This window comes from Homo sapiens, chromosome 4 (genome assembly GCF_000001405.40).
Source record: "Homo sapiens chromosome 4, GRCh38.p14 Primary Assembly".
Taxonomy (NCBI): domain Eukaryota; kingdom Metazoa; phylum Chordata; class Mammalia; order Primates; family Hominidae; genus Homo; species Homo sapiens.
This window is the reverse complement of record NC_000004.12, coordinates 55,359,320-55,383,105: the sequence shown is the minus strand read 5'-3', so window position 1 is coordinate 55,383,105 and position 23,786 is coordinate 55,359,320. Positions and strand designations below refer to the sequence as shown.

Sequence of the window (23,786 nt, the reverse complement as noted above, 5' to 3'; positions counted from 1 at the left end):
ATATGGCACACATTAAGAACATGCATTTTCTTGCATTTCTTGCTCTTTTTCTACTCTCCTTAAGCATTCATAGGCAAGCATTGTCTACTATGATGGCTTATAACAAAAATCTGTAACACTCTTACTTGTGGTCATTGCTGGCTATGTAATTCGCTGAGCCTGGTGCCAAACGAAAATATGGGACCTCCTCTGTAAAAAACAGGAAAAAAGTACAGTTAAAGATACTAATGTAATGGGATAATAGTGATACTGGAGTAACTACATGAACTTAAACATTGCTAAACTAATAATTGTGATGTCATAATTTTATATAATACAGTAAACAATAATCATTCATTAATGTGATGTCCTATTATATTTTTCTGGCTCACTTTTCTGCAAATTCATCAAAATTTATTCTTTTCATTTCACTTTCATTTTCAATAGATATGAAATTTATGTCATACAATTTCTTTACCAATAGATAAGACTGAAAGCAACACCAGCCAGTCTTGGGAAATATAAAGTCACAAATAAATTTTGATAATTTTTCATTTCGTAAAGGATCTTTCTGCTGATGCAGCTGTTAAGAGTGTTTCATAAACTGTGACAACACTAAGGTAAATTTCTGATAAATTATTTTGAAATATAAATTTTAATACTTCTAGAGTTGTTGGTTCTTGTGGAATAATTTTTCTAAAGGGACTTAACTCCTTAGACAACTCAGTTTTCTGTAAAAGTCTGAATTTAATTTTAAGTATAAATTTACACAATGATATTTTAATGTTTCTGCAGACATAAGGAAATATTTCCTGAAACTTGTGGAGGTCTTACAAGAAACTGAAAGTGGCTTCATAATTTGTATATAATTCATAAGGCCTGTTTATGTATTCTGTCACTGACTCTTCAATTATAAGAAAAAAAACATGTTTAATTATCTTTCTGCCAAACAATTGGTTTGTACTTCCTAGGAAAATAGCATTCTTTTCTGTAGAATGTGACAATCTTTAAACTTAATTTCTGTTTCTAAGCCTGAGGTTATTTGCTTTGCCATGTTGTAGTAGTTTTCAAAACTAGACATTTTAGATCCTTTAAGAATTCTAATAACCCCCTGCTATGCTATGACAATATTCATGTATACACTTTTATTGTATACATGTTGTACTAATTTACTGAGAAGTTAGCAGAATGAGTTCCTGTCCCAGTACTCAGGATGGAGAGTTACTATTTGTGCAGATGATGCGGGGCTAAGCTCTGGCAAGGGACAGGCGAGCTGGTCTCCCACTGGTGGTCCTGGCAATGTCCATATGCAGAGCCCTTTCCTGTCTTTGGAGCCGCAGCCATTGCTGTCCTGACTGTTACTCCTGCTGCCCGCCACCATCACCACTGCAACTGGGCCCAGGTACTGGCTCAGCTGCACTCTGGACTGCCCTGAATCATGCACACATGCATGCGTTCCCCGCTGGGGTGTTTCCACTGCTCATGTGCATGCTTCATTGTCTCACTGGCTTCACTTACCAAACACAAATTCGAAGATAAAATCACTAAGAATTCCAAGACAGCAACAGCAGAGGATTAAACCAAGCATGTGCCCCTTCTGAGAGTGCAACTGCACAGCATATGGTCCTATAGATAGTCTATTAGGTGTCAGGATTTGGGCTTTGTGTAGAAGAGAGGATAAGGTGGTGAGGAAATGATGGGCACTGACAGATTTCCTCCATGATCTTAACTTAAAGCAATAGGTTGTTGATAAATCTACATCATCTTCATACTGAAATGAATGCTCTTTGAGAGCAAGAATCTTGTCTTATGCAGCCCTGTATTCCCCATGGGACCTACCTCTGTGCCTTCCATATAGCAGATGTTAAGTACGTTAGGTTGAACACATAAATTGCTATTCTTCTGTTTCAGAAGGGTAACGTGTAAAGAGTTGGAAACAGGTCCTTTTATATAAGGTCCTTTTATATATAAGGCATTATATAAGGCATTATATATAATATATTATATTTTTTGCCTTTTATAAGGCATTAAACTGATCAAAACTGGTATAAAAAATCTGATCTTCTTGTCTGATCCAGGAGGAGAAATATCATTAGTAAGCATTGTGTTTTCCGTGTTCTTTCCACAAATGTGCCCTGTATAAACTTCCTGAGTTTGGTAAAGGAGAATCCTTCTGGTTTTGCTTGCACATACAGAGAATCACGTGATGGATTTCATTTTTTCCCTTTTGTTTCCATGTCTTAAAAGCAAAATCATAGAAGGAAACTCTATGGACAATTTCAGATGGAGAAGAAGAAAGGACTGGAAGTTCAATTTGGCCATGACAATTAGGTGGGAAAGGGTGATGAAACTTATTAACCTAATAAGCTAAAGTACTTAAAGTAGTAAGAAGTAACTTATTAACCTAATAAGCTAAAGTCCATCCTTTTTCATCTATTACTATGGGCTACATTTTGCACTGAACATTATTTACGTTCACTGCATAAGGACAGAAAGGAGGGATAACATTATAGAGGAATGAGTTATTTCCCATTTACTGGATTACATGGTTCCTGTAGCATGAATTTTTTTTAACCTCAAAGATTTTACACAATCTACATGTCAAACATTCATGATTGGCTGGGCGTGGTGGCTCACGCCAGTAATGCCAGCACTTTGGGAGGCCGAGGCAAGCGGATCACCTGAGGTCAGGAGTTTGAGGCCAGCCTGGCCAACACGGTGAAACCCTGTCTCTACTAATATAAAAATTAGCCGGGCACGGTGGCAAGTGCCTGTTAATCTCAGTTACTTGGGAGGCTGAGGCAGAAGAATCTCTTGAACCCGGGAGACGGAGGTTGCACTGAGCCAAGAACGCACCACTGCACTCCAGTCTGGGCAACAGAGTGAAACTCTGTCTTGGGAAAAAAAAAAAAATTCATGATCACTAGTCATGCTATTAGTTAATAGCAGATCACAGGATTATAGGTCTAGATGTGAGGAAGCAAGAAATCTCCAAGTGCTGATTTTTTTTTTAAGTTTATAGGAAGAACAAATATTAAAGATCTAAGTCTCTAAGTTAAAGACTAATCACTGTCCTCTTCACCAACAGGTCTTAATCTTAATATTTTGAAGAGTAAATATATTTATTCCAATTCCCACAAATGCTGCATTTCTCTAATAAAACCTGAAAAAGGCTGGGTGTGGTGGCTTGTGCCTATAGTCCTAGCTACTCGGGAGGCTGAAGTGGGAGGATAGCTTGAGCCCAGGAGGTCGAGGCTGGTGTGAGCCGTAATCATGCCATTGCACTCCAGCCTGGGTGACAGAGTGAGACCCTGTCTCAAAGAAAAAACAAAACAAAAATCGAAAAACCTGACAAAAAGATGTGGATAAGATTGTAACAGTTTATGGATTCCTAAACGTTTATTTTGCCTTTCATTTTACTTCTTCCTTATGAGAATTGTTACCAGATTCTTGGTAATATAAATGCACAATTAGATGCATTTCACACGTCAATATAAACTGCATTCAATCTTTGAAAGAAAGATATTATTGCAATTCTGCAACAGAGTAAAGTAAGCCAGGAGACCTATTTACTTATGCAGATAACAGTAACAGAGTCATACATTTAATAAATGTTGAGTGTCTACTATATATCAGGCACTTTACTAGTGCTGGGGATATATCTGCAAACAAAGCAATAAAAACAAACCCAAAAATTTTTGCCCTCATGTAGCTCACATTACATTGAGGAAACACAGGCAAAAAATAATGTACCTAAGTGTGTTGGAGGCCGAAAGATTGAGGGTAGTGATCAACTCAGTATACCACTGGAGGCTATATGAGTAAACAGCAAACTGTTCTCATAAACGCAGAATGTTGGCAAACTGACAAACTGCGTCTGCCACCAGAAGGAATGCTGAGGGCAGTCACGCCCCAAGCGCAGTGTTTCTTGTGATTAGGTACTTCTGAAGCCTGTTAGTAGTAATATGAACCTGTGATCGATTAAGCAGCTGACCAATCGTTACCTCCTCCTCCCTGCTCTTTCTACCCAATAAATAAGAAAGGCTGTGGAAACTCGGGGGCTGCCTTTGCTCACTAGAAGCGGGGAGTTCTCTTCTTCTTTCCTGATTCCCCTTCCTTTAAAATAGTTTCTTTTGTCTTAAGTTTACATTTCTGCGTCCGTCCCTTCCTTCAGTCTTGTAATGACGGTCTCAAGCAGTAGCAGTGGCAGTCAGTCACATAAGTGAAAAAGTACATTGTAGAGGTTTATTTCTACAGAACAAACCACCTCAAAACCAGGTGACTCAAAACAATAAGTATTTATTATTGCTCACCAGAGCAAAGGGAAAGGAAAATGGAAATGTGTGTATGATAGAGAGAGAACGAGGAAGAGAGAAGGAGAGGTACAAGGGGGTTGGGTTGCAATTTTAAATAAGGGGATCACCTTATTGAGAGGGCAGCTGTGGTATGCAGCCTCTTTGATGGTCCCCAATAGTCTGAATTTCCTGGACTTCCTTGAGTATCCTCTTTCTTTGAGTATAAGGCTGGACCTAGTAACTCCTTTCTAACAAAGAGAATATGGCAAAAGTGACAAGACAAAATTTCCAAGATTAAGTTATAATGAGATTGTCTTCCTTTGTGGATGCCCTTGCTTGCTTGCTCTGATGGAAGCTGGGTACCACGTTGTGAGATGCTTTATGGAGAAGTCCTTCCATAGAGGCAAGGAACTGAAGGAGGCCCCAGCCAATGAGGGGCCTTTTTTTTTTCTTCTTTTTCTTTCTTTCTTTTTTTTTTTTTTTTTTTTTTGAGACAGGGTCTCCCTCTGTTACGCAGGCGGGAGTGCAGTGGCACAATCTTGGCTCACTGCAACCTCTACCTCCTGGGCTCAAGAGATCCTCCCACCTCAGCCTCCCAAGTAGTTGGGACTACAGGTGCAAGCAACCACACCCGACTAATTTTTGTATTTTTTGTAGAGATGGGGTTTTGCCATGTTGCCCAGGCTGGTCTTGAACTCCTGAGCTCAGGCAATCCACCTGCCTTGGTCTCCGAAAGTGCTGAAATTACAGGTGTGAGCCACTGTGCCTGGCCTGGAACTAGGGCCTTTAGTTCAAGAGCCCATGGGGAACTGAATCCTGCTAACAACCATGTGAGTGCGCTTGAAGGTGGGTCCTCCCTCAGTAGAGCTTAAAGATGAGACAACAGCCCTGGGGACATCTTGACTGCAGAGAATCCTTGAGGCAGAGGCACCCAGCTAAGTTGTATCTGGAATTCTGACCCCAGAAACAATGAGATAATAGATGTTTGTTTTTAGCTCCTAAGACTTGGAGTACTTTGTTACACAGCAGTAAATAACTAATACAGTGATGTTTGAACAAAGACTTGAAGAAGCTGAGTGAGAAGGCCATGCAGATATCTTGGAGAAGTGCATTCCAGGCAGAGGAAAAGCCAGTGCAGAGACACTGAAGCAGGGCATGACTGATGTGTATAAGGAGCATCATATACATGATCATCTACAGTCCACTGAGGAGAATAGCAGACGAGGTAATGTGTGTGACTGGGAGCCACAACATACTGGGCCTAGTGGGTTAGTAGAAGAACTTCAGCCTTACTCCAAGAGAAATTGGCAGCTGTGTTGCAGGGTTTGGGACAGTAGTGGCATGATCTCATTTATGTTTGTGAAAGATCACTCTAGCTTGTGTTGAGAATTGTCTGTAAGGTATAAGGGGGAAAGCAGGGAGCTCACTTAGTCAGTTGCAATAATCTAGGCAAAAAATGAATGAAAATCACGATGGCAGTTTGTAGAAAGATGATAACAGAGGTAGATTCTGGACATGCTCTAACTGTAGACCCACTGATTTCTGGATTGTGAAAGAAAAAGAAGAGTCAAGGAAGACTCCATGGCTTTTGGTTTGAGTAAGTGAAAAAACAGGAAGAATGTAGGTGGATCAGGTGTGGGGAAGAGGAAAATCAGAAATTTACCTTTAATCATGTCAAACTTGAGAACAGCTAGTGCTTTTCAAGTCAAGTAGAGCTGTTAAGTAGGCAACTAGATATATGAGTCTAGAGGTCAGGGTGATGTCTGGGCTGAATATATAAATTTAGAAGTTGTCAGCATATAAATAGTATTTAAAGTTATGAGACTGGATGAGATCACCAAGTATTGATAAAGAAAGGGACCCAGGACTGAGAACTGGGGCAATTCAACATTCAGACATCAGGAAACAGAAGAGATCAGCAGAGGAACCTGGGAAGGAACAGCCAGGGAGGTAGGAGGAAAATCCACAGTGTAGTGTCTCAGAACCAATTAAAGAATGCATCTCAAATGAGGTAACCAACTGCTACCATGCTGGGATGAACACTGAGAAACAACTGTCGGGTTTAGCAGCATGGTCGTTGGAGACCTTTTCAAGAGCAGTTTAGTAAAGTTCTGAGAGCTAAAAAAAATAAAATAAAAATAAAAAAAGTGACTATAGGGTATTTAGCGGTGGGAGGGAAAGGACTGATGTTAGTAAGAATAGACTAATCTTTCTAGGAGCTTTGCTGCCAAAGAATCAGCGAAATCAGGTGGTATCTGGTGAGGGAAATGGAGTTACGTTTTAAAAAGATATTTGGGGTCAGGCGCAGTGGCTCATGCCTGTAATCCCAGCACTTTGGGAGGCCAAGGCAGGTGGATTACTTGAGGTCAGGAGTTTGAGACCAACATGGTGCAAACATGGTGAAACCCCGTCTCTACTAAAAATACGAAAATTAGCTGGGCATGGTGGCACATGCCTGTAATCTCAGTTAGTGGGGAGGCTGAGGCAAGAGAATCGCTTGAACCTGGGAGTGGAGGTTGCAGTAAGCCGAGATCACACCACTGCACTCCAGCCTGGGTGACATAATGAGACTCTCTCTCAAAAAAATAAATAAGTAAAATAAATATAAAGATATTTGGGCCTGGTGTGGTGGCTCACAACTGTAATCCCAGCACTTTGGGAGGCCGAGGCGGACAGATCACCTGAGGTCGGGAGTTCGAGACCAGCCTGACCAACATGGAGAAACCCCGTCTCTACTAAAAATACAAAATTAGCTGGGCATGGTGGCACATGCCTGTAATCCCAGCTACTTGGGAGGCTGAGGCAGAAGAATCGCTTGAACCCAGGAGGCAGAGGTTGCAGTGAGTCAAGATCGTGCCATTGCACTCCAGCTTGGGCAACAAGAACAAAACTCCATCTCAAAAAAAAAAAAAAAAACATATTTGGGCCAGGCGCAGTGGCTCATACCTGTAATCCCAGCACTTTGGGAGGCCAAGGCGGCCCAATTGCTTGAGCCCAGGAATTCAAGACCAGCCTGAGCAACATGGTGAAACCCCGTCTCTACAAAAAATACAAAAATTAGCCGGACATGATGGTGCGCACCTGTAATTCCAGCCACTCAGGAAGGTGAAGCAGGAGGATCACCTGAACCCAGAGAGGTCAAGGCTGCAGTGAGTCGTGATCATGCCACTGCACTCTAGCCTGGGTGACAGAAGGGGACCCTGCCTCAAAAAGAGATTTGTCTTCTGATGAGAAAGCAGGAATGTTGAGAAAAGGGCAAAAAATTGATATAATAGAGGGAAGAATGGCCAATGTCCTTAGGTAGGTGAAAGGGAATCCAATCTAGTGCTCAAGAGGGCTGAGTTTTGGGTAGAAATTCAAAATTTGTTTACAGTTTCAGGAAAAAAAATGTAAACGGCTGAAATGAACAAGAAATATTACTCGTGTCTTATATAGTAGTCTCTTCAAGTTATTATCTGTGTCTTTAATTGTCTTGAGGTATTTTACAACTCTGTAAATGGCAGACAACTGAAAGAAATGCAAATAATTCTTTTCCATAGACATACAAGTGAATTTTGCCCAGTGGAGGCACAGTTGATTCCCCTCCCCCATTATAGAGGCCAGTTGTGCATCTATTAAGCAAATTCATTTTGACATGCCTCATATCTGTATATGTATCTGTTTTTAGGATTATTTTTTGAACTGGTTCCAACATCTTAGTGGTTCCTTTATTAGTGAGTTAAGTAAAATCTTTGGCACATGTTCATTTTATATTTATATGAGAATTTATATGAGAAACTTTTTCTTTTTTTTTTAAAGAGGCCAGGTGCAGTGCATGTAATCCCAGCACTTTGGGAGACTGAGATGGGAAGATCGCTTGAGGCCAGGAGTGCAAGACCAGCCTGGGCAACACAGCAAGACCTTGATTCTACTAAAAAAAAAAAAGGATCCTTCAACTTCAACAATAATAACACAAGGGAAGGTAATGCACACACAGATGCTTAGGTGGGTGGAAGTGGTGGTGCCAACCGGTCCAAGTTCTTTCCAATAGCTTCACTTTTCTGAGAAAAGAAAAGATGTAAAATAGGAGAGTGGCAAATGGACTAGAGAATTTTATTATGACTGCAGCATTAAATGCCACTTGAGGCCAGGCAAAGTGGCTCATGCCTGTAATCCCAGCACTATGGGAGGCCGAGGCGGGCGGATCACCTAAGGTCAGGAGTTTGAGACCAGTCTGGCCAACATGGTGGAACCCGTCTCTACTAAAAATACAAAAATTAGCCAGGCATTGTGACGCTCACCTGTAATCCTAACTACTTGGGAGGCTGAGGCAGGAGAACTGCTTGAACCTTGGAGGCAGAGGCTGCAGTGAGCTGAGATCCCACCACTGCACTCCAGCCTGGGTGACAGAGGGAGACTGTCTCCAAAAAAAAAAAAAAAAAGCCATTTGAGGTTAGTGGTCATGAATTTAAAGTGAGCTGTTAATGGACTGAATTTCTCCAGGCACAGTTCAACTGCATAGGTGCACACACAAAGGAGGGAGGATTGAATTTAACCAGGATTTTGGCTTTGCTAAGTGAGTAGGCAAAAGCAATGTAAGGAGGCAAGAGAGTTGGGGATATATATAAAGGACTGATTATAATGATTTACTAGGAATTTAATCCAGGTAAGGAGGTAAGAGAAGACTCATGAGAAATGAATGCCAGTGAAAATGTGATGAGATCAAAAGACTAGAGATCCCAGTAGAGTTGAGAGATTGTTGGAGTTGCAGTACTAAAACAATGAGCTGGAAAGGCAGGTGTTAGTAGTCAGAAAGGAAGAAAACACTATTTCTGTTTGGGGTCAGCATTCTAGCATCTGAACAGACATTCTATTGTTCGAGGATCACTTACCTGCTAACCACCACACTCCCCTTTCTGTGTGTAGGACAGGTGTTTTCCATGGAGTGCTTACTTCTTCCTCCTGGTCTCTCTCAATGTGATGATTCCATGCAATCAAGGTTTTTTTTTTGTTTGTTTGTTTTTGTTTTTTTTTTCCCAAGAGTGAACAAAATCTGCAGACAGGCAGGCAGCATGATGAGCAGGGTCTCTGTGGAAGGTTGTGCAGTTTGTACACTGGGACACTGGGCTGAGATCCATCCCGAGCTCTGCTCACTGACTGTGGCCCCATCACCAGCTGACTTTTTTGGCCCACAAAGGCTCATGCCCTGCCACCATGGGGCTGTTCCTTGGGTCATGCCTTTTCTACTTCCCAGAAAGGTGCTGTGTAGGCCAGGGAGCTCTGATAAAGACTGCATATGCACCATGGGGTTTAAGCCAGAGGGCTGAACTTGAGCAAGATGTGCCCTTTTGTTGTAAAACCCCTTGTGGACTGGTATCCTCAAATTGCTTCAAGCATTCAGTCTTTTTGAAGGAAGAGACCCGATATTATACTTTCTCAATTATATGCATAAAGTAGCTCTTGACGTATAGTTTCATTTGGATAATTAGGTTTTTCTTCTCCCAAAACCAATACTTGGCTTTCTAGGAGATCACTGCTATTTGAGAAAAAGATGAGGTATCATATGCATTATTTATGGATCACTGGCCTCTCCACTGTTTCTTATCTATTTATCAGGAAAATCTTAGATTAGACTAATGTATTTATGAAAAACCAGTTGAATGTTGTTTTTTTTCCCCCCAATAAGTAATGTGAAAGAGTGGGCAGAAGTTGCTTAGACAGGTTACAGGGGTAAAGAAATTCGACTTGCTCATTTACTGTTTTAAGGTCTTCTTTAATATATCAGCTCATTTTGAGTGATCTCACTTATCAATGGTTCTTGAGTTTTTAGGCACCTTATGCAAATGTTGCAGTCTCCTTAAACTAAATATCTATTAAGCTACATACAAAAATATCTGCAACGGTTTTTTTTTTTTTTGTAGGAATTCTAGCAATAACCACTCATTGAAGTAAAAATCGAATACAGGGCACAGCTTTGTAGAGACAAAATAATCCATGGTTAAGCAAATGTTAGTGTATAGGATGAGCTTCACAAAAACAAAGGCCATTTTCAGCACACTTTTAGTCAGTAGTTAATCAAGGGAAGGCTGCTAATGAGGTAGTTCAATGTCATTTCCCCGACTTAATGGTAGTAGAAAATGAAAGATTAAGGCTATTTAAGCCAACAGGAAAACCATGAATCTTTAAGCTATTTCTGGGTCCTTGTGAAGAATTTGCAAAGTCCCTGATGCTCTCCCTTTACGCACATGGAATATTTTCACCAACACAAAAAACAGTGCTGATTCTGACGCTGCAAGCACTGCACAATTCTCAATTATTTCCCATCGGTGACGCTTTCACCAAAGGCCATGCTACGTTGTTCTGAACCCCTTTCAGGACATCACTATCTCCTCTCTTATCTTTGCCTAGAAATATGATGTTTGGGCAAAGAAGGAAAAGGGATGAGTAAGAAACAGGGATGAGTGGGAGAGAGACAGCAGGAAACAGGGGTGGGAAACTGGACACTGCAGCTTTCTCACAACCCCTGACAGGGTGCGTCATGGGATGCTCGTTATTTTACTTAAGAGTACAATGAGATTCCAGAACATCAGCCAAATCTCTAGTCTAACCTGGGCATAAAATTGCATGCTAAAATAAAATACATTTTTCTCCAAATAATTTATTAAAAATTACACTTGATATTCATGTGGAAATTAAGACCAAACTGCAATGTTTTCCATTTCCAATGTACAAAAAGTTTTGTTCCTGAGAATGGCAAATTCTAAATGATAAGTAAAATAAATATGGCATTTATTTAAGTAGACTGAGCCACAGGTTAATCTTAAGTGGTGTTTGGTTGATGGGAGAGAAAATCCTCCATCAGAATTGTTGTAAGAACTTTCCAATGTGCTTGACATGCATCCGGGAGCAGTGACTTACACCTGTAATCCCAGCACTTTGGGAGGCCGAAGCAGGTGGATCACCTGAGGTCAGGAGTTTGAGACCAGCCTGGCCAACATGGTGAAACTCTATCTCTACTAAAAATACAACAATTACCTGGGCATGGTGGCATGTGCCTGTAATCCCAGCTACTTGGGAGGCTGAGGCAGAGGAGAATCGCTGGAACCCAGAAGGCGGAGGTTGCAGTGAGCCAGGATCCCACCACTGCACTCCAGTCTGGGCGACAGAGTGAGACTCCATCTCAAAAAAACAAAAAAAACAAAGGAATCTTAGTTTAACAGTTTTGGGTTACAGCTCCAGGGATGGGGGTGGGAATGATTGACTATGCATTTGATATGTGTCTTATTAATCATAAGGTTCTTTCCCCCATAGCAAAGTACATATAAATGCAAAGCTTTAGTGCTTAGCTGACTGTAATAGGACATCTTCATAAAAGGAATAAACTTAACACCTCAGCCAATAAGCCAGAGAATCTTACGCTGCACAAGTGTGCAGTTTTAATGTGTTGCTCAGGCTATAGTATTATTTTTTAAGTTTTTGGTTTTCTTTTATACCATGCATTTATTTCCCTCTGAATTAATCACAGGTATTTTCTTTAACATAAGCTATTTTAAGTATAAACTTTATTCCTGAATATCTTCAGATACTTTCTGCTAGTTCAAATAAACTCACACAGACATTAATCCAATTTGAATAACTACATATGAATGAGGCTACAGTATTATTCAATCCAGAGTGTGTCACTTCCGTTCACGAAGGCTTGCTATGCATAAATATAAAAATATTTTATCTTCTGATGCTTTCATTTTTGAAGCACTCCCTTCAAAGGATGTAAAAAAATATTAAATAAAAGAGCTTTCAAAGTGTTCTGTTAGGCTATGATTTGAGGGGGAGATGAATGGAAATGGATATTGATAGTTATTTAACTGGAGATCTTTGTGGTGATATGTGAAAGTATAAACTAACTCCAACAAACTCGTTTTTTCCTGAAACTTTTGGTGTAAAATTATATATTATTATTATTTTGAGACAGGGTCTTGCTCTGTTGCCCAGGCCAGGCTGGAGTGCAGTGGCATGACCTCGGCTCACTGTACCCTTGACCTCCTGGGCTCAAGCGATTCTCCCATCTCAGCCCACTCCCAAGTATCTGGGACTACAGGCATGTGCCACCACTCTTGGCTAATTTTCATATTTTTTCACGGAGATAGGGTTTCACCATGTTGCCCAGGCTGGTCTCGAACTCTTGGGCCCAAGCGAACTGCCCACCTTGGCCTCCCGAAGTGCTGGGATTAACAGGTGTGAGCCATTGCACCCAGCCTGTTATTATTTTGAAAGGTTATTCTGCTTTTACTGAAATGCAACAAACAGTTATTGAGCACCTGCTATATTATTATATAGTCCATTCCTACTAGGCTACCGCAGCCATTGATGATCTTCCTTTGTGTGTGTGTGTGTGTGTGTGTGTGTGTGTGTGTGTGTGTGAAGCTGTTTGTATATTTTCGGTTTTTCGGTTAGTTTGCTTGTGAAGCAGCTTGGAGAAGTCTCATCTACTTTTTATCAGTTGGTTGGTTTTAGAAAGCATCTCAGAAAGTGGACCCAGAAATCGCAGATCTGCCATTAGTATTTATTCTTTGAAGATACTTTGGAGATTCATTTTCTTGAGTGGCACTGCCATGCTCATTCAGTGAAAACTTGTGGGGTATAGAAATGGAATGGAGAGTTTCAAACAGCTTTGCTGAAACTGTACTTTGGGCTCCAGACTTCACTGTCCTTAGGCATTGAAACCATCACCTGGTTTGCATTCTTCATGACTGAGGTTAACTTAAAACAAAAATGGTAGGAAAGCTTTCCTATGCTTCGGGTAAGAGACAAATTTGCTTTTGTAGAATTGGTGGCTGAGAAAGGCAGACAGGGCCTGATTAAAGAAGACATTTGTCACCACTAGCCACCAAGTTAAGTTGTGGAACCCAAAGGTGACGGCCATGGAAACGTAGATCATCAGCTCTGCTAAGTAGTTAGGGGAAGAAACATATTCAAACCAGTCTCCAAATGGGATCCTGTGGTTACAGTGAATGACCACTCCTGAAAGGGTAAAAGAAGATCTCATAAGCATTTAAAGGTTTGAAAAGAAAGTTTCACCACTTCACTCGCAAATCATTTACAGAATTTTTTTTTTTTTTTTTGAGGCAAAGTCTTGCTCTGTTGTCCAGGCTGGAGTGCAGTCGTGCAGTCATGGCTCACTGTAGTCTCAACCTTCCAGGCCCAGGCAATCCTCCCATCTCAAACTGCCCAGTGGCTAGTACCACAGGTATGCATCACCATGCCTGGCTCATTTTTTGAATTTTTTGTAGAGACAGGGTCTGCCTATGTTGCCCAGGTTGGTCTCAAACTGCTGGGCTCAAGTGATCCTCCCACCTCAGCCTCCTAAAGTGCTGGGATTACCAGTGTGAGCCAACCTGCCCAGCCCAGAAACTCTTATTTAGAAAAGAGTATCATACATGTGTGTAAACCACCATCCTGTCACACTTCTACTGTCAATTACATATTGAAAAGTTATATGCTTAGGTTAAATTGTCAACTGTCCATAGCACAAGAGAAAAGCCAGTTACTCCAGCAATCCTCCAAGCTAGTAATTAAGAGCTCAGACTACTCCAGAGTCAGACTGCACAAGTTTAAATCCTGGCTCTCCCACTTACTAGCTGTGTAACTTTAGATAAGTTGCTTAACCTCTTTGTGCCTTAGTTTCCTCATCTGTAAAATGAAGACCGGACTGTAGTCATCTCATGTCGGCATTGTGAAGCTATATGTAAAGCACTCAGAACAGGGCCTGGGACAAAATAAGTACTTGATAAATATTAAAACTATTCAGTTTTTTGGCTGGGCGCGGTAGCTTATGCTTGTAATCCTAGCACTTTGGGAGACTGAGGTGGGCGGATCACCTGAGGTCAGGAGTTCAAAACCAGCCTGGCCAACATGGTGAAACCCCAGCTCTACTAAAAATATAAAAATTAGCCAGATGTGGTGGCACACGCCTGTAATCCCAACTACTTGGGAGGCTGAGGCATGAGAATTGCTTGGATCCAGGAAGCGGAGGTTGCAGTGAGCTGAGATGGTGCCACTGCACTCCAGCCTGGGTGACAGAGTGAGACTCTGTCTCAAAAATAAATAAATAAAATAAATAAATAATAGGCCGGGTGTAGTGGTGCACGCCTGTAATCCCAGCACTTTGGGAGGCCGAGGTGGGTGGATCACCTGAGGTCAGGATTTCGAGACCACCCTGGCTAACATGGCAAAACCTTGTCTGTACTAAAAAATACAAAAATTAGCTGGGCATAGTGGTGCGCACCTGTAGTCCCAGCTACTTGAGAGGCTGAGGCGGGAGAATCACTTGAACCCTGGAGGCGGAGGTTGCAGTGAGCCGAGATTGTGCCACTGCACTACAGCTTGGGTAACAGAGCAAGACTCCATCTCAAAAATTAAATAAATAAATAAATAAATAAATAAATAAATAAATAAAACTATTCAATTTTTTTTTTTGAGACAGTCTAGCTCTGTCACCCAAGCTGGAGCGCAGTGGCGTGATCTCAGCTCACTGCAACCTCCGCCTCCCAGGTTCAAGTGATTCTAGTGCCTCAGCCTCCCAAGTAGCTGGGACTACAGGCACCTGCACCACCGCACCCAGCTAAGTTTTGTATTTTTAGAAGAGACGGGGTTTTGCCATGTTGGTCAGGCTGGTCTTGAACTCCTGACCTCAAGTGATCCTCCTACCTTGGCTTCCCAAAGTGCTGGAATTACAGGCGTGAGCCACTGCGCCTGGCCTATTCAATTTTTAATATTTCAAAAAACCTAATGGAAACTATACCTGTGATAAGTCAACACAAGCTAACTTAAAGGTCAAGTTTTTATGCTGTGGCTGGTACTAACTCCATGGTAACACTAGCTCTCACATGCTGATCAGACACAAAACGTAGAATCACAGAATGTCAGGGCTACTTGGGTCTAGAGAGGTCTTTCAATGTAAGGCTCTCATTTTCACAGATGGGAAGATCAAGGCCCAGAGAAGTGTCTTGCCAAAAATCAATATTTGATACAGTCAACTAACTAGGGCAGGAAGGAAAAGCATGCAGGACCATGGAGAACTAACTTCTGAGGGTTAAAATCCATATGCAGAGGCTCTAAAAGAGGTCTCACCTGCTTTATTTTTCCTGAGATTGCCGAGAATAACATGGCACTTATACTGATGGGCAGATGACCAGATGAACATCATCATCCCAAGAATATGGAACCACCGTGCTTGCATCAATAGATTTTTCCCTGTTATGTAGGCTATAGGAATGAGAATTGTTAGCCAACACTAAACAATTTCACAGGCTCAGGGAATTAAACAAATCATTTAGTCAGCAGAAACACAATTATCCACTTATTCCGTTCCTCAATATCCTAATATAATTTCCCAAGTACAAAGAGGGGAACCTGTTCCTCAATATCCCGATGTAATTTCCTGATGTAATTTCCCAATACAGAGGGAAAAGCCCTGTCTCTCTGGACAAAGGAGATACGTTCCTCAGCTATGGGCAGCTTCAGTTCCCCTGGCAAGAGAATTCCACACAGACACATTCTCTTGCTTCTTCTCTAAACAGTTCAAGCACAAAGTTCAGCTCCCCTACTGTGATCTACTTTCGAATGGTAAGATTCCTTTGTGTTTCCCTTGCTAAGTCCAGTTTTAAGTCTTCTTTCTTATGTTTTACAGTGAAGAAAAACACTTTCTAAGGAAATCTCTCTCTGAGCTACCATCCTGCTAGGGAGAGCCTGAAAGCAGAATGCTGACTTGACTAGCTCTGGTCAATGAAAGAAATCACCAGTGGAAAGGCTACCAGGGGGCTTTCTCAAAAGAGAGGGACAGTAAACTGCAAGATGAACAACTCAATGCCATCCAGGTCTGGATGAGAAAGAACAGTCGAGAGACTGAGTTTCAGGAGTGGAAACACTCAAAGCATCATCTTCCACTTTCTTCTCCGGCTGCTAGGAAGAAGGGAAAAACACAGACCTTCTGAGGACCTGCGGAGCAAACCACTGGCTTCAGAAAAGCAAACAGGGACTTCCCTCTGCGCAGCAGGAAGCAGTTAGCCTAGTCGGAGGCTTGACTGAAGAAACAAATGTATCCACTGATAATGGGCAAGAGCCTGAGGCTCTGGAGCCAAGGGGGAACCCTAAAAAGCTGATTCAAGTAAGAGAACCAAGGATCATGCAATTCCACATGGCCACCTCGAAGCAGGAATCCGTTAATGATAGTAAAGGACTGATGAAAATCCACCGGTCTACCTGTGTCAGTTTATTTTAAAAGCTTGTTTTATATAATCAATCTACTATAGTCTTTTAGTGTTTACAAGTTTAGCCATTTAACTACTAGGTTATATTTTTATAAGTTCAAAACAGGCTGGGTACAGTGGCTCACACCTGTAATCCCAGCACTTTGCGGGGGCCAAGGCAGGAGGATCACTTGAGGCCAGGGGTTTGAGACCAGCCTGCCAACATAGCGAGAACCTGTCTCTACAAAAATGAAATAAGCAAAATATTAAAAATACAGTTTTAAATCTGACAGGCTTCAAGAGCAAGTCAACAGGATGAAAAGTTACAGTGTCTGGAAGTTCAAATCACTAAGTCCCTTATGCTAAATGCAGAGAGTTTACCTACAGGAAAAAGGATTTGTTAAGGGTAACGCCAGAATTATAATGCAGGAAAAGGGAGGCAGGTGGAAGGCTCACATTTCCTCAGTTCTACTCAGTATTTAATTATTTGTTTATTCATTAGTTACTTAAGGAGTGCCTCCTAAGCCTGGCCCTGCTGAAGGCACAAAGGATAAAGCAGGGAATAAGTCAGGCAAGATCCCAGTCCTTATAGAGCTTACATCCTAGTTTACAGATAGTCTTCTTTTCACTTTAAGAAGAACCCTGTGAAATCAGTATGTGTCAATAATTACTAATGAAGGCTGTGAGGCTCAGAGAAGCTCAATGAGCCAGATGCAGGCCCATCAAGACTCTGGAGCCCATGTTATTTCTATCACGCCCTTTGGTTGGCAAATGCCCCAATGTGTTTTCTCTCAATGAATTACTGAAACCAACTTTCCCCATATTGTCCTAAATGATCCCAGATGACCCTTGAAGGACAAGGAGGTGAAACAGAAAACAGCTTCAGAAAGGAGTGCTTAGAAAGCTATTTTTGTGGGCTCCTCTTCCTTGACTATCTACGCAGGAGGGAAGGCAGAAGTTGAGACGCAGCCAGTAGAGGAAACTCCGGGAGAGGCAGGTAACGCCAACAAACAAGAACACGCTAAAAGCTAGCAGTCACCAAGCGCTCTGCAAAGTTCCTTTAGGGGGAGAACCAGCACTGCCCACCAGGAATGACAGCCCCTTCCATGGTACTGGCTGGCAGAATGCCACCACAGACATGCCTGGGAGGAATAAGTTCAGAGGAATCAGAGAGATGCTAGCTAAGTGGCTGGAGCCAATCAATAATTCATGAATTGAGAAAGATCGTCAATAAATCCTTTAAAATCACTCCTCTAGTCAGAGGCCTTAGGTTGAGCTACAGCAACAGAGAGACGACTTTCACGGGGCACTCATACCAAAATCTAACCTGAGGAGGAAGCTCACTCACAGATTGTTGGAAATCGCTAGACCTCAGCCTGAGTTTACAAGGATGGACAGGGCAGCTGAAAACATGGAGCCCTGGGTTTAGAGACAATGGTCATTACAGACCTACGGGGTCTAGACTGACAGATACTAAGGCTGCAAGGTCAGGTTAACCTCAGCACTATAAACTCATTCCCATCACCCCAAGCGACTTGAATTCTTTATAATCATGCATTGTTTTTACAAAAATGGTAGTCATATGTGTTAGGTAATGTCCCCTCCTCCCCCCATAAAACAAAAAATCCATTTCATTTCCTTCTCGTAAACAAGGTCATGGTTTGGCTCCCCTCTTCCTGGCTAGTGAGAGCTTAGAGACTAAAACACAATTTTCACTACCACAGTACTCTTTGTCCTCTCCTCTCAGGCAGCGTCACTTGAAGAAAAGCTCTATTGTGATGGGAACAATCACAGGAACTAAGCGGCAACAAAATGGCTCCCCACCCCCTCTGCAAATCCCAACTCCATGCAAGCACTCTCCCTTCCCTCATTTTCTTTTCTTTTTTTTTGAGATGGAGTCTCGCTCTGTTGCCCAGGCTGGAGTGCAGTAGCGCGATCTCGGCTCACTGCAACCTCCACCTTCTGGTTTCAAGCAATTCTCCTGCCTCAGCCTCCCCAGTAGCTGGGACTACAGGCGTGTGCCACCACGCCTGGCTAATTTTTTTTTTTAATTTTTAGTAGAGACAGAGTTTCACCATGTTGGCCAGGCTGGTCTCGAACTCCTGGCCTCAAGTGATCCACCTGCCTCAGCCTCCCAAAGTGGTGGGATTACAGGTGTAAGCGACCACGCCCGGCCTTTTAAAATCGACTTGAGTCTCATCTCCTGAAATGCAAAATGCATTGGGCCTGTCTCTTACTTCTGCATGTCTCATAATGCTTAGCACAGCACAAGCCCCGAGAGCGCATCATACACCCTGGGGTGGGGAGCTCCTGGCAGGGCTGGATCCACTCACCATTCCTGCCATCCATTGGCACTTGGCTCAGCACAGTTAGGCCAACAAGGACATAATAGACAAGTCCAAAACAGTACTGCACGACGTGAATCATGACATTGGAGAAGACACTGACGTAGAGGCACTCGAAGAGTCTTCGTAAGCTGTGCAGCCACAGAAATACTAGCACTAAGAATGCAGACAGTGCCAGCTCCCCTCCTACAATTCAGAAGGCAACAGGGTCAGCATTTCTCTTCTGGGATTAATCCAAAGTTTTGTTTTTCTGTACTGTTAAGCAAAGTATTAAATCCCATCTAACATCTTTCTTTTTGGTAGTAAGGAAGAAATGGGCCAAATGAAGTCAAGGAATTTGACTTCACTCAAATTACACAGTTCACTGTGTTACACAGTTCACTGGGTTCACAAACACCCATCACTCAATTCTGCTTCATTGTGTGACAGCCTTCCAGGCTTCAGGGACATCACGGTCAGGAGGTCTGTGAAGAGGTCTGTGGGTTTCTGGTCCTGGCACTAACAGCCAGATGCAAACTGGAAGCGTTCCTGGTAGCCTCTGAGTGGCCCCAGCTGTGGGATCCCCAGTATCTCAGGCATCACAGAGGCAGAGAGGGGGACAGGAACAGAAACAGAGTTATGCATTTCTTTCCACATTAAAAAAAAGAAATTATACTTTTAGAGGCATGCTGAGCCCAAGATCTACTTCCTCACCTGTCTTTCACGACCTGCCCACCAAAAAATCTGAAGAAAAGCTGGCTTTAAAAAAACACACACTTAGTTTCTCTTTTTTTCTTTTTTGTTTTTTATTTTTTGGTTAATTTTATGTGTCAACTTCTTTATTTTTGAGACAGGGTCTTGCTCTGTCACCCAGGCTAGAGTGCAGTGGCACAGTCAGGCCTCACTGCAGCTTTGAACTCCTGAGCTCAAGTGATCCTCTGTCTCAGCTTCCTGAGTGGCTAGAACTATAGTCATGTGCCACCACACCTGACTAATTAAAAAAAAATTTTTTTTGTTGCCCAGGCTGGTCTCGAACTCCGGGCCTCAAGCCATCCTCCAGCCTCAGCCTCCCAAAGTGCTGGGATTTTAGGTGTGAGATACCACGCCCAGTCACTTAAAAAAGAAATGAGTCACGGCCGGGGGCGATGGCTCATGCCTGTAATCCTACCACTTTGGGAGTTGGAGGCGGGTGGATTGCCTGAGCTCAGGAGTTCGAGACCAGCCTGGGCAACATGGTGAAACCCTGTCTCTACTAAAAATACAAAAAATTAGCCAGGCATGGTGGTGTGCGCCTGTAGAACCAGCTACTTGGCAGGCTGAGGTAGTAGAACTGCTTGAACCTGGGAGGTGGAGGTTGCAGTGAGCCAAGATTGGGCCACTGCAATCAGCCTGGGAGATAGAGCAAGACTCTGTCTCCATTAAAAAAAAAAAAAAAAAAGTCTCACACACAAACACACACACACGCATGCACACCATAAAGATGCAACTTAATTAACTTTTACAAATTAAGCCAACCAATCCCACCCATGTAACAGCACCCAGATCCAGAAACAGAACACTTTAGGAAGCTGAGGTTGGAGGATCGCTTGAGACCAGGAGTTTGAGACCAGCCTGGGCAACACAGCAGGTACCCCATCTCTAAAAACATTAAAAAAAAAATTAGCTGGGCATAGTGGCGTGCACCTGTAGTCCCAACTACTCAAGAGGTGGAGGAGGGAGGACTGCTCGAGCCCAGGAGTTAAAGGCTGCAGTGAGCTATGATCATGCCACGGCACTCCAGCCTGTACAACAGAGTGAGACCCTCTCTCTTAAAAAAAGAAAAAGAAAGAAAAAAATGAAACAAACAAAAGAAACAGGCTGGATGCGGTGGCTCATGCCTGTAATCCCAGCACTTTGAGAGGCTGAGGCAGGCGGATCACAAGGTCAGGAGTTCAAGACCAGCCTGGCCAACAGAGTGAAACCCTGTCTCTACTAAAAATACAAAAATTAGCCGGGCATGGTGGCGCATGCCTGTAGTCCCAGCTACTCAGGAGGCTGAGGCAGGAGAATCGCTTGAACCCGGGAGGGGTAGGTTGTGGTGAGCTGAGATCAGGCCACTGCACTCCAGCCTGGGCAACAGAGCAAGGCTCCATCTCAAAAAAAAAAAAAAGAAGAAACAGAACACGAACAGCACCCCCTAGTGTAGGCACGACCCCTCCCCCAAACTTCCCATGGGGAACAACCCCTATCAGCACAGATTAGCTTTGACTGTTTTTGTATTTTAAATGAACTAAAACTTAGTTTTAACTCCTTAGGAACAAGTTAAAGCAAACAAATAGAATTCCTCATATCCTCACAACCAACCCTCCAAATACCAAAACACCCCAGTCAGTCTCACAGTAAACAAACGAAGAGATGAAGTTTTAACGAGTGGAGTGAGATCCGCTGATGTAGCCTACCCTTCCAAAGAGGATGTCCACGGGTTTGCTCTTTTTTTTTAGATGGAGTCTCACTCTGTGGCACAGGCTGGAGTGCAGTGGCATGATCTCAGCTTACTGCAACCTTTGCTTCCTGGGTTCAAGCCATTCTCCTGCCTCAGCCTCCTGAGTAAGTGGGATTACAGGCACGCGCCACCACGTCCCGCTAATTTTTTGTATTTTTAGTAGAGACGGGGGTTTCACCATGTTGGCCAGGCTGGTCTTGAACTCCTGACCTCAAGTGATCCACCTGCTTCAGCCTCCCAAAGTGCTGGGGTTATAGGTATGAGTCACTGCCCACTGTTCCCGGCAGGGTTTGCTCTTTTTTTTTTTTTTTTTTTTGAGACGGAGTCTTGCTCTGTCCTCTTAGGCTAGAGTGCAACGTTACAATCTTGGCTCACTGCAACCTCTGCCTCTTGGGTTCAAGCAATTCTCTCTCCTCAGCCTACCGAGTAGCTGGGGTTACAGGCATGTGCCAGCACACCCAGCTAAGTTTTGTATTTTTAGTAAAAACGGGATTTCACCATGTTGGCCAAGGTGGTCTTGAATTCTTGACCTCAAGTGATCTGCTCACCTCAGCCTCCTGAAGTGCTGGGATGAGAGGCATGAACCACCACACCCGGCCGGGGTTTGCTCTTCTGATTGTCATCTTTTGCAACCAGTTTATCTGGTTATACAGAAAAGGATTGTTTCTAGGTGGTTTGGCCACTGGAACAAAGGACAGAGATGAGACTAGAACAATTTGTTTCTAATTCTGCCCCTCACACTCTGCCTGACCTTAATTGAGGACATTTCATAGTTTTCACCTTCAATTCTTTATTTTAAAAACTGTTCTGGCCGGGCGCGGTGGCTCACACCTGTAATCCCAGCGCTTTGGGAGGCCAATGCGGGTGGATCACCTGAGGTCAGGAATTCGAGACCAGCCTGACCAACATGGAGAAACACCATCTCTCTACCAAAAATACAAAATTAGCTGGGCGTGGTGGCACATGGCTGTAATCCCAGCTACTTGGGAGGCTGAGGCAGGAGAATCGCTTGAACCTGGGAGGCAGAGGTTGCAGTGAGCCAAGATTGCACCATTGCACTCCAGCCCGGGCAATAAGAGCGAAACTCCATCTCAGAAAAAAAAAAAAAAACGTTCCATATTCTTCATCCTGATGCTGAGGATGGCAAACTTAAAGGCTATTTTGTAATCGTCTGTTCAACAACTGTTTAGTCAATTTTATTATACTACCAAAGCCTCACAGCATAACTTTTTTTCCATGTTTATCAAAAAGTAATTTTTATTTATTTTATTCATTTATTTATTTATTTTTTTGAGACAAAGTCTCCCTCTGTTGCCCAGGCGTGGAGTGCAGTAGCTCAATCTTAGCTCATGGCAACCTCCGCCTCCCAGGTTCAAGCGATTCTCCTGCCTCAGCCTCCCGAGTAGCTGGGATTACAAGCGCCTGCCACCACACCCAGCTATTTTTGTATTTTTAGTAGAGTTGGGGTTTCACCACATTGGCCAGGCTGGTCTTGAACTCCTGATCTCAAGTGATCTGCCTGCCTTGGCCTCCCAAAGTGCTGGGATTACAGGTATGAATTAAAAAGTAATTTTTTTTTTTTTTGAAACACAGTCTCGCTCTGTTGCCCAGGCTGGAGTGCAGTGGCCCGATCTCAGCTCACTGCAAGCTCCGCCTCTCGGGTTCATGCCATTCTCCTGCCTCAGCCTCCCGAGTAGCTGGGGCTACAGGTGCCCGCCACCATGCCCAGCTAACTTTTTTTTGTATTTTTAGTAGAGACAGGGTTTCACCGTGTTAGCCAGGATGGTCTCGATCTCCTGACCTTGTGATCTGCCCGCCTTGGCCTCCCAAAGTGCTGGGATTACAGGCGTGAGCCACCGCACCCGACAGAAAAAGTAATTTTTAAATCACATTTCTGGAGTTCTAAGTCATGAGTTTGGTTGGAACAGTATAAATGATAAATGTTTCCAGACAAACCTGACAGATCCTAAAAGCTTTCCCCCTTTTGTGTAAAGACTTCTTCATAAATTTATCAACAGTACTAAAAATACCAGAGGGAGGGCAGCCAGTTCTGCACACAACACAGCACTTGCTGGGAAGTCAGGAGCGCTAACTCTTGGCTCTGTCTCCTTCTCAGGGAAGGGCTTAGGGACATCCTTTTGGCCATCCGGCAATGAACCGTGCAAAGCTCTTTTTTGCCCTCATCCTCCACTTCCCAGGCCCTTCTGAGGAGGTGCCGAGAGAGGAGACAAAATGCCAAAAACTGCTCCCTTGCAGACAGGAACAACAGAAACGGGATGCAGCGTTGTCATAAGCCCAGGGAGTCCTTACCCTGGAACTGTGCCGCCCCGAGAATTCTGAGCAAACCATGAAGCCAGCTTGGAAAAGGTGCTCCCAGGAACAGAGATTGAGTAAGGCACCAAAGCAGGAAGCCATTCCACAGCACTGAGATGATATAAAAGTGGGAAAAATATCTGCAAAAGGAAAACAAGCGAGGCAA

General features: G+C 43.1%; 1 protein-coding gene and 2 long non-coding RNA genes across 6 annotated transcripts in view, besides 2 other annotated features; 1 reads left to right on the top strand and 2 right to left on the bottom strand.

Moving 5' to 3' along the window:
- The window catches only part of LINC02928 (long intergenic non-protein coding RNA 2928), a 10,479-nt gene extending 5,167 nt beyond the window's left edge, over nt 1-5,312 (bottom strand). The window contains exons 1-2 of the long non-coding RNA XR_941060.4: nt 4,403-5,312; nt 126-189 (exon numbers count right to left, since the gene is read on the bottom strand). This is a non-coding gene — a long non-coding RNA (long intergenic non-protein coding RNA 2928). The remainder of the gene's footprint in view (nt 1-125; nt 190-4,402) is intronic.
- SRD5A3-AS1 (SRD5A3 antisense RNA 1) overlaps nt 1-16,505 on the top strand; it is an 18,980-nt gene extending 2,475 nt beyond the window's left edge. The window contains exons 2-4 of the long non-coding RNA NR_037969.1: nt 5,336-5,499; nt 8,073-8,235; nt 15,943-16,505. This is a non-coding gene — a long non-coding RNA (SRD5A3 antisense RNA 1). The remainder of the gene's footprint in view (nt 1-5,335; nt 5,500-8,072; nt 8,236-15,942) is intronic.
- The window catches only part of SRD5A3 (steroid 5 alpha-reductase 3), a 26,859-nt gene continuing 13,078 nt past the window's right edge, over nt 10,006-23,786 (bottom strand). For 2 of the 4 annotated variants that reach the window (NM_024592.5, XM_017008601.2), the window contains exons 2-5: nt 23,618-23,760; nt 18,835-19,032; nt 15,384-15,518; nt 10,006-13,274 (exon numbers count right to left, since the gene is read on the bottom strand). In NM_024592.5, the coding sequence (NP_078868.1) occupies nt 13,015-13,274; nt 15,384-15,518; nt 18,835-19,032; nt 23,618-23,760 (736 nt within the window). In that variant the 3' untranslated portion in view covers nt 10,006-13,014. The remainder of the gene's footprint in view (nt 13,275-15,383; nt 15,519-18,834; nt 19,033-23,617; nt 23,761-23,786) is intronic. The other 2 variants (NM_001410732.1, XM_005265767.4) reach the window with 2 other exon arrangements.
- Nucleotides 17,154-17,841: an enhancer, noted in NCBI's record as "H3K27ac-H3K4me1 hESC enhancer chr4:56231432-56232119 (GRCh37/hg19 assembly coordinates)". NCBI's record gives its function as "activates a minimal SCP1, AML or CMV promoter by ChIP-STARR-seq in primed H9 embryonic stem cells {active_cell/tissue: H9 hESC(primed)}" and the evidence as "EXISTENCE:reporter gene assay evidence [ECO:0000049][PMID:30033119]".
- Nucleotides 17,842-18,530: an enhancer, noted in NCBI's record as "NANOG-H3K27ac-H3K4me1 hESC enhancer chr4:56230743-56231431 (GRCh37/hg19 assembly coordinates)". NCBI's record gives its function as "activates a minimal SCP1, AML or CMV promoter by ChIP-STARR-seq in naive H9 embryonic stem cells {active_cell/tissue: H9 hESC(naive)}" and the evidence as "EXISTENCE:reporter gene assay evidence [ECO:0000049][PMID:30033119]".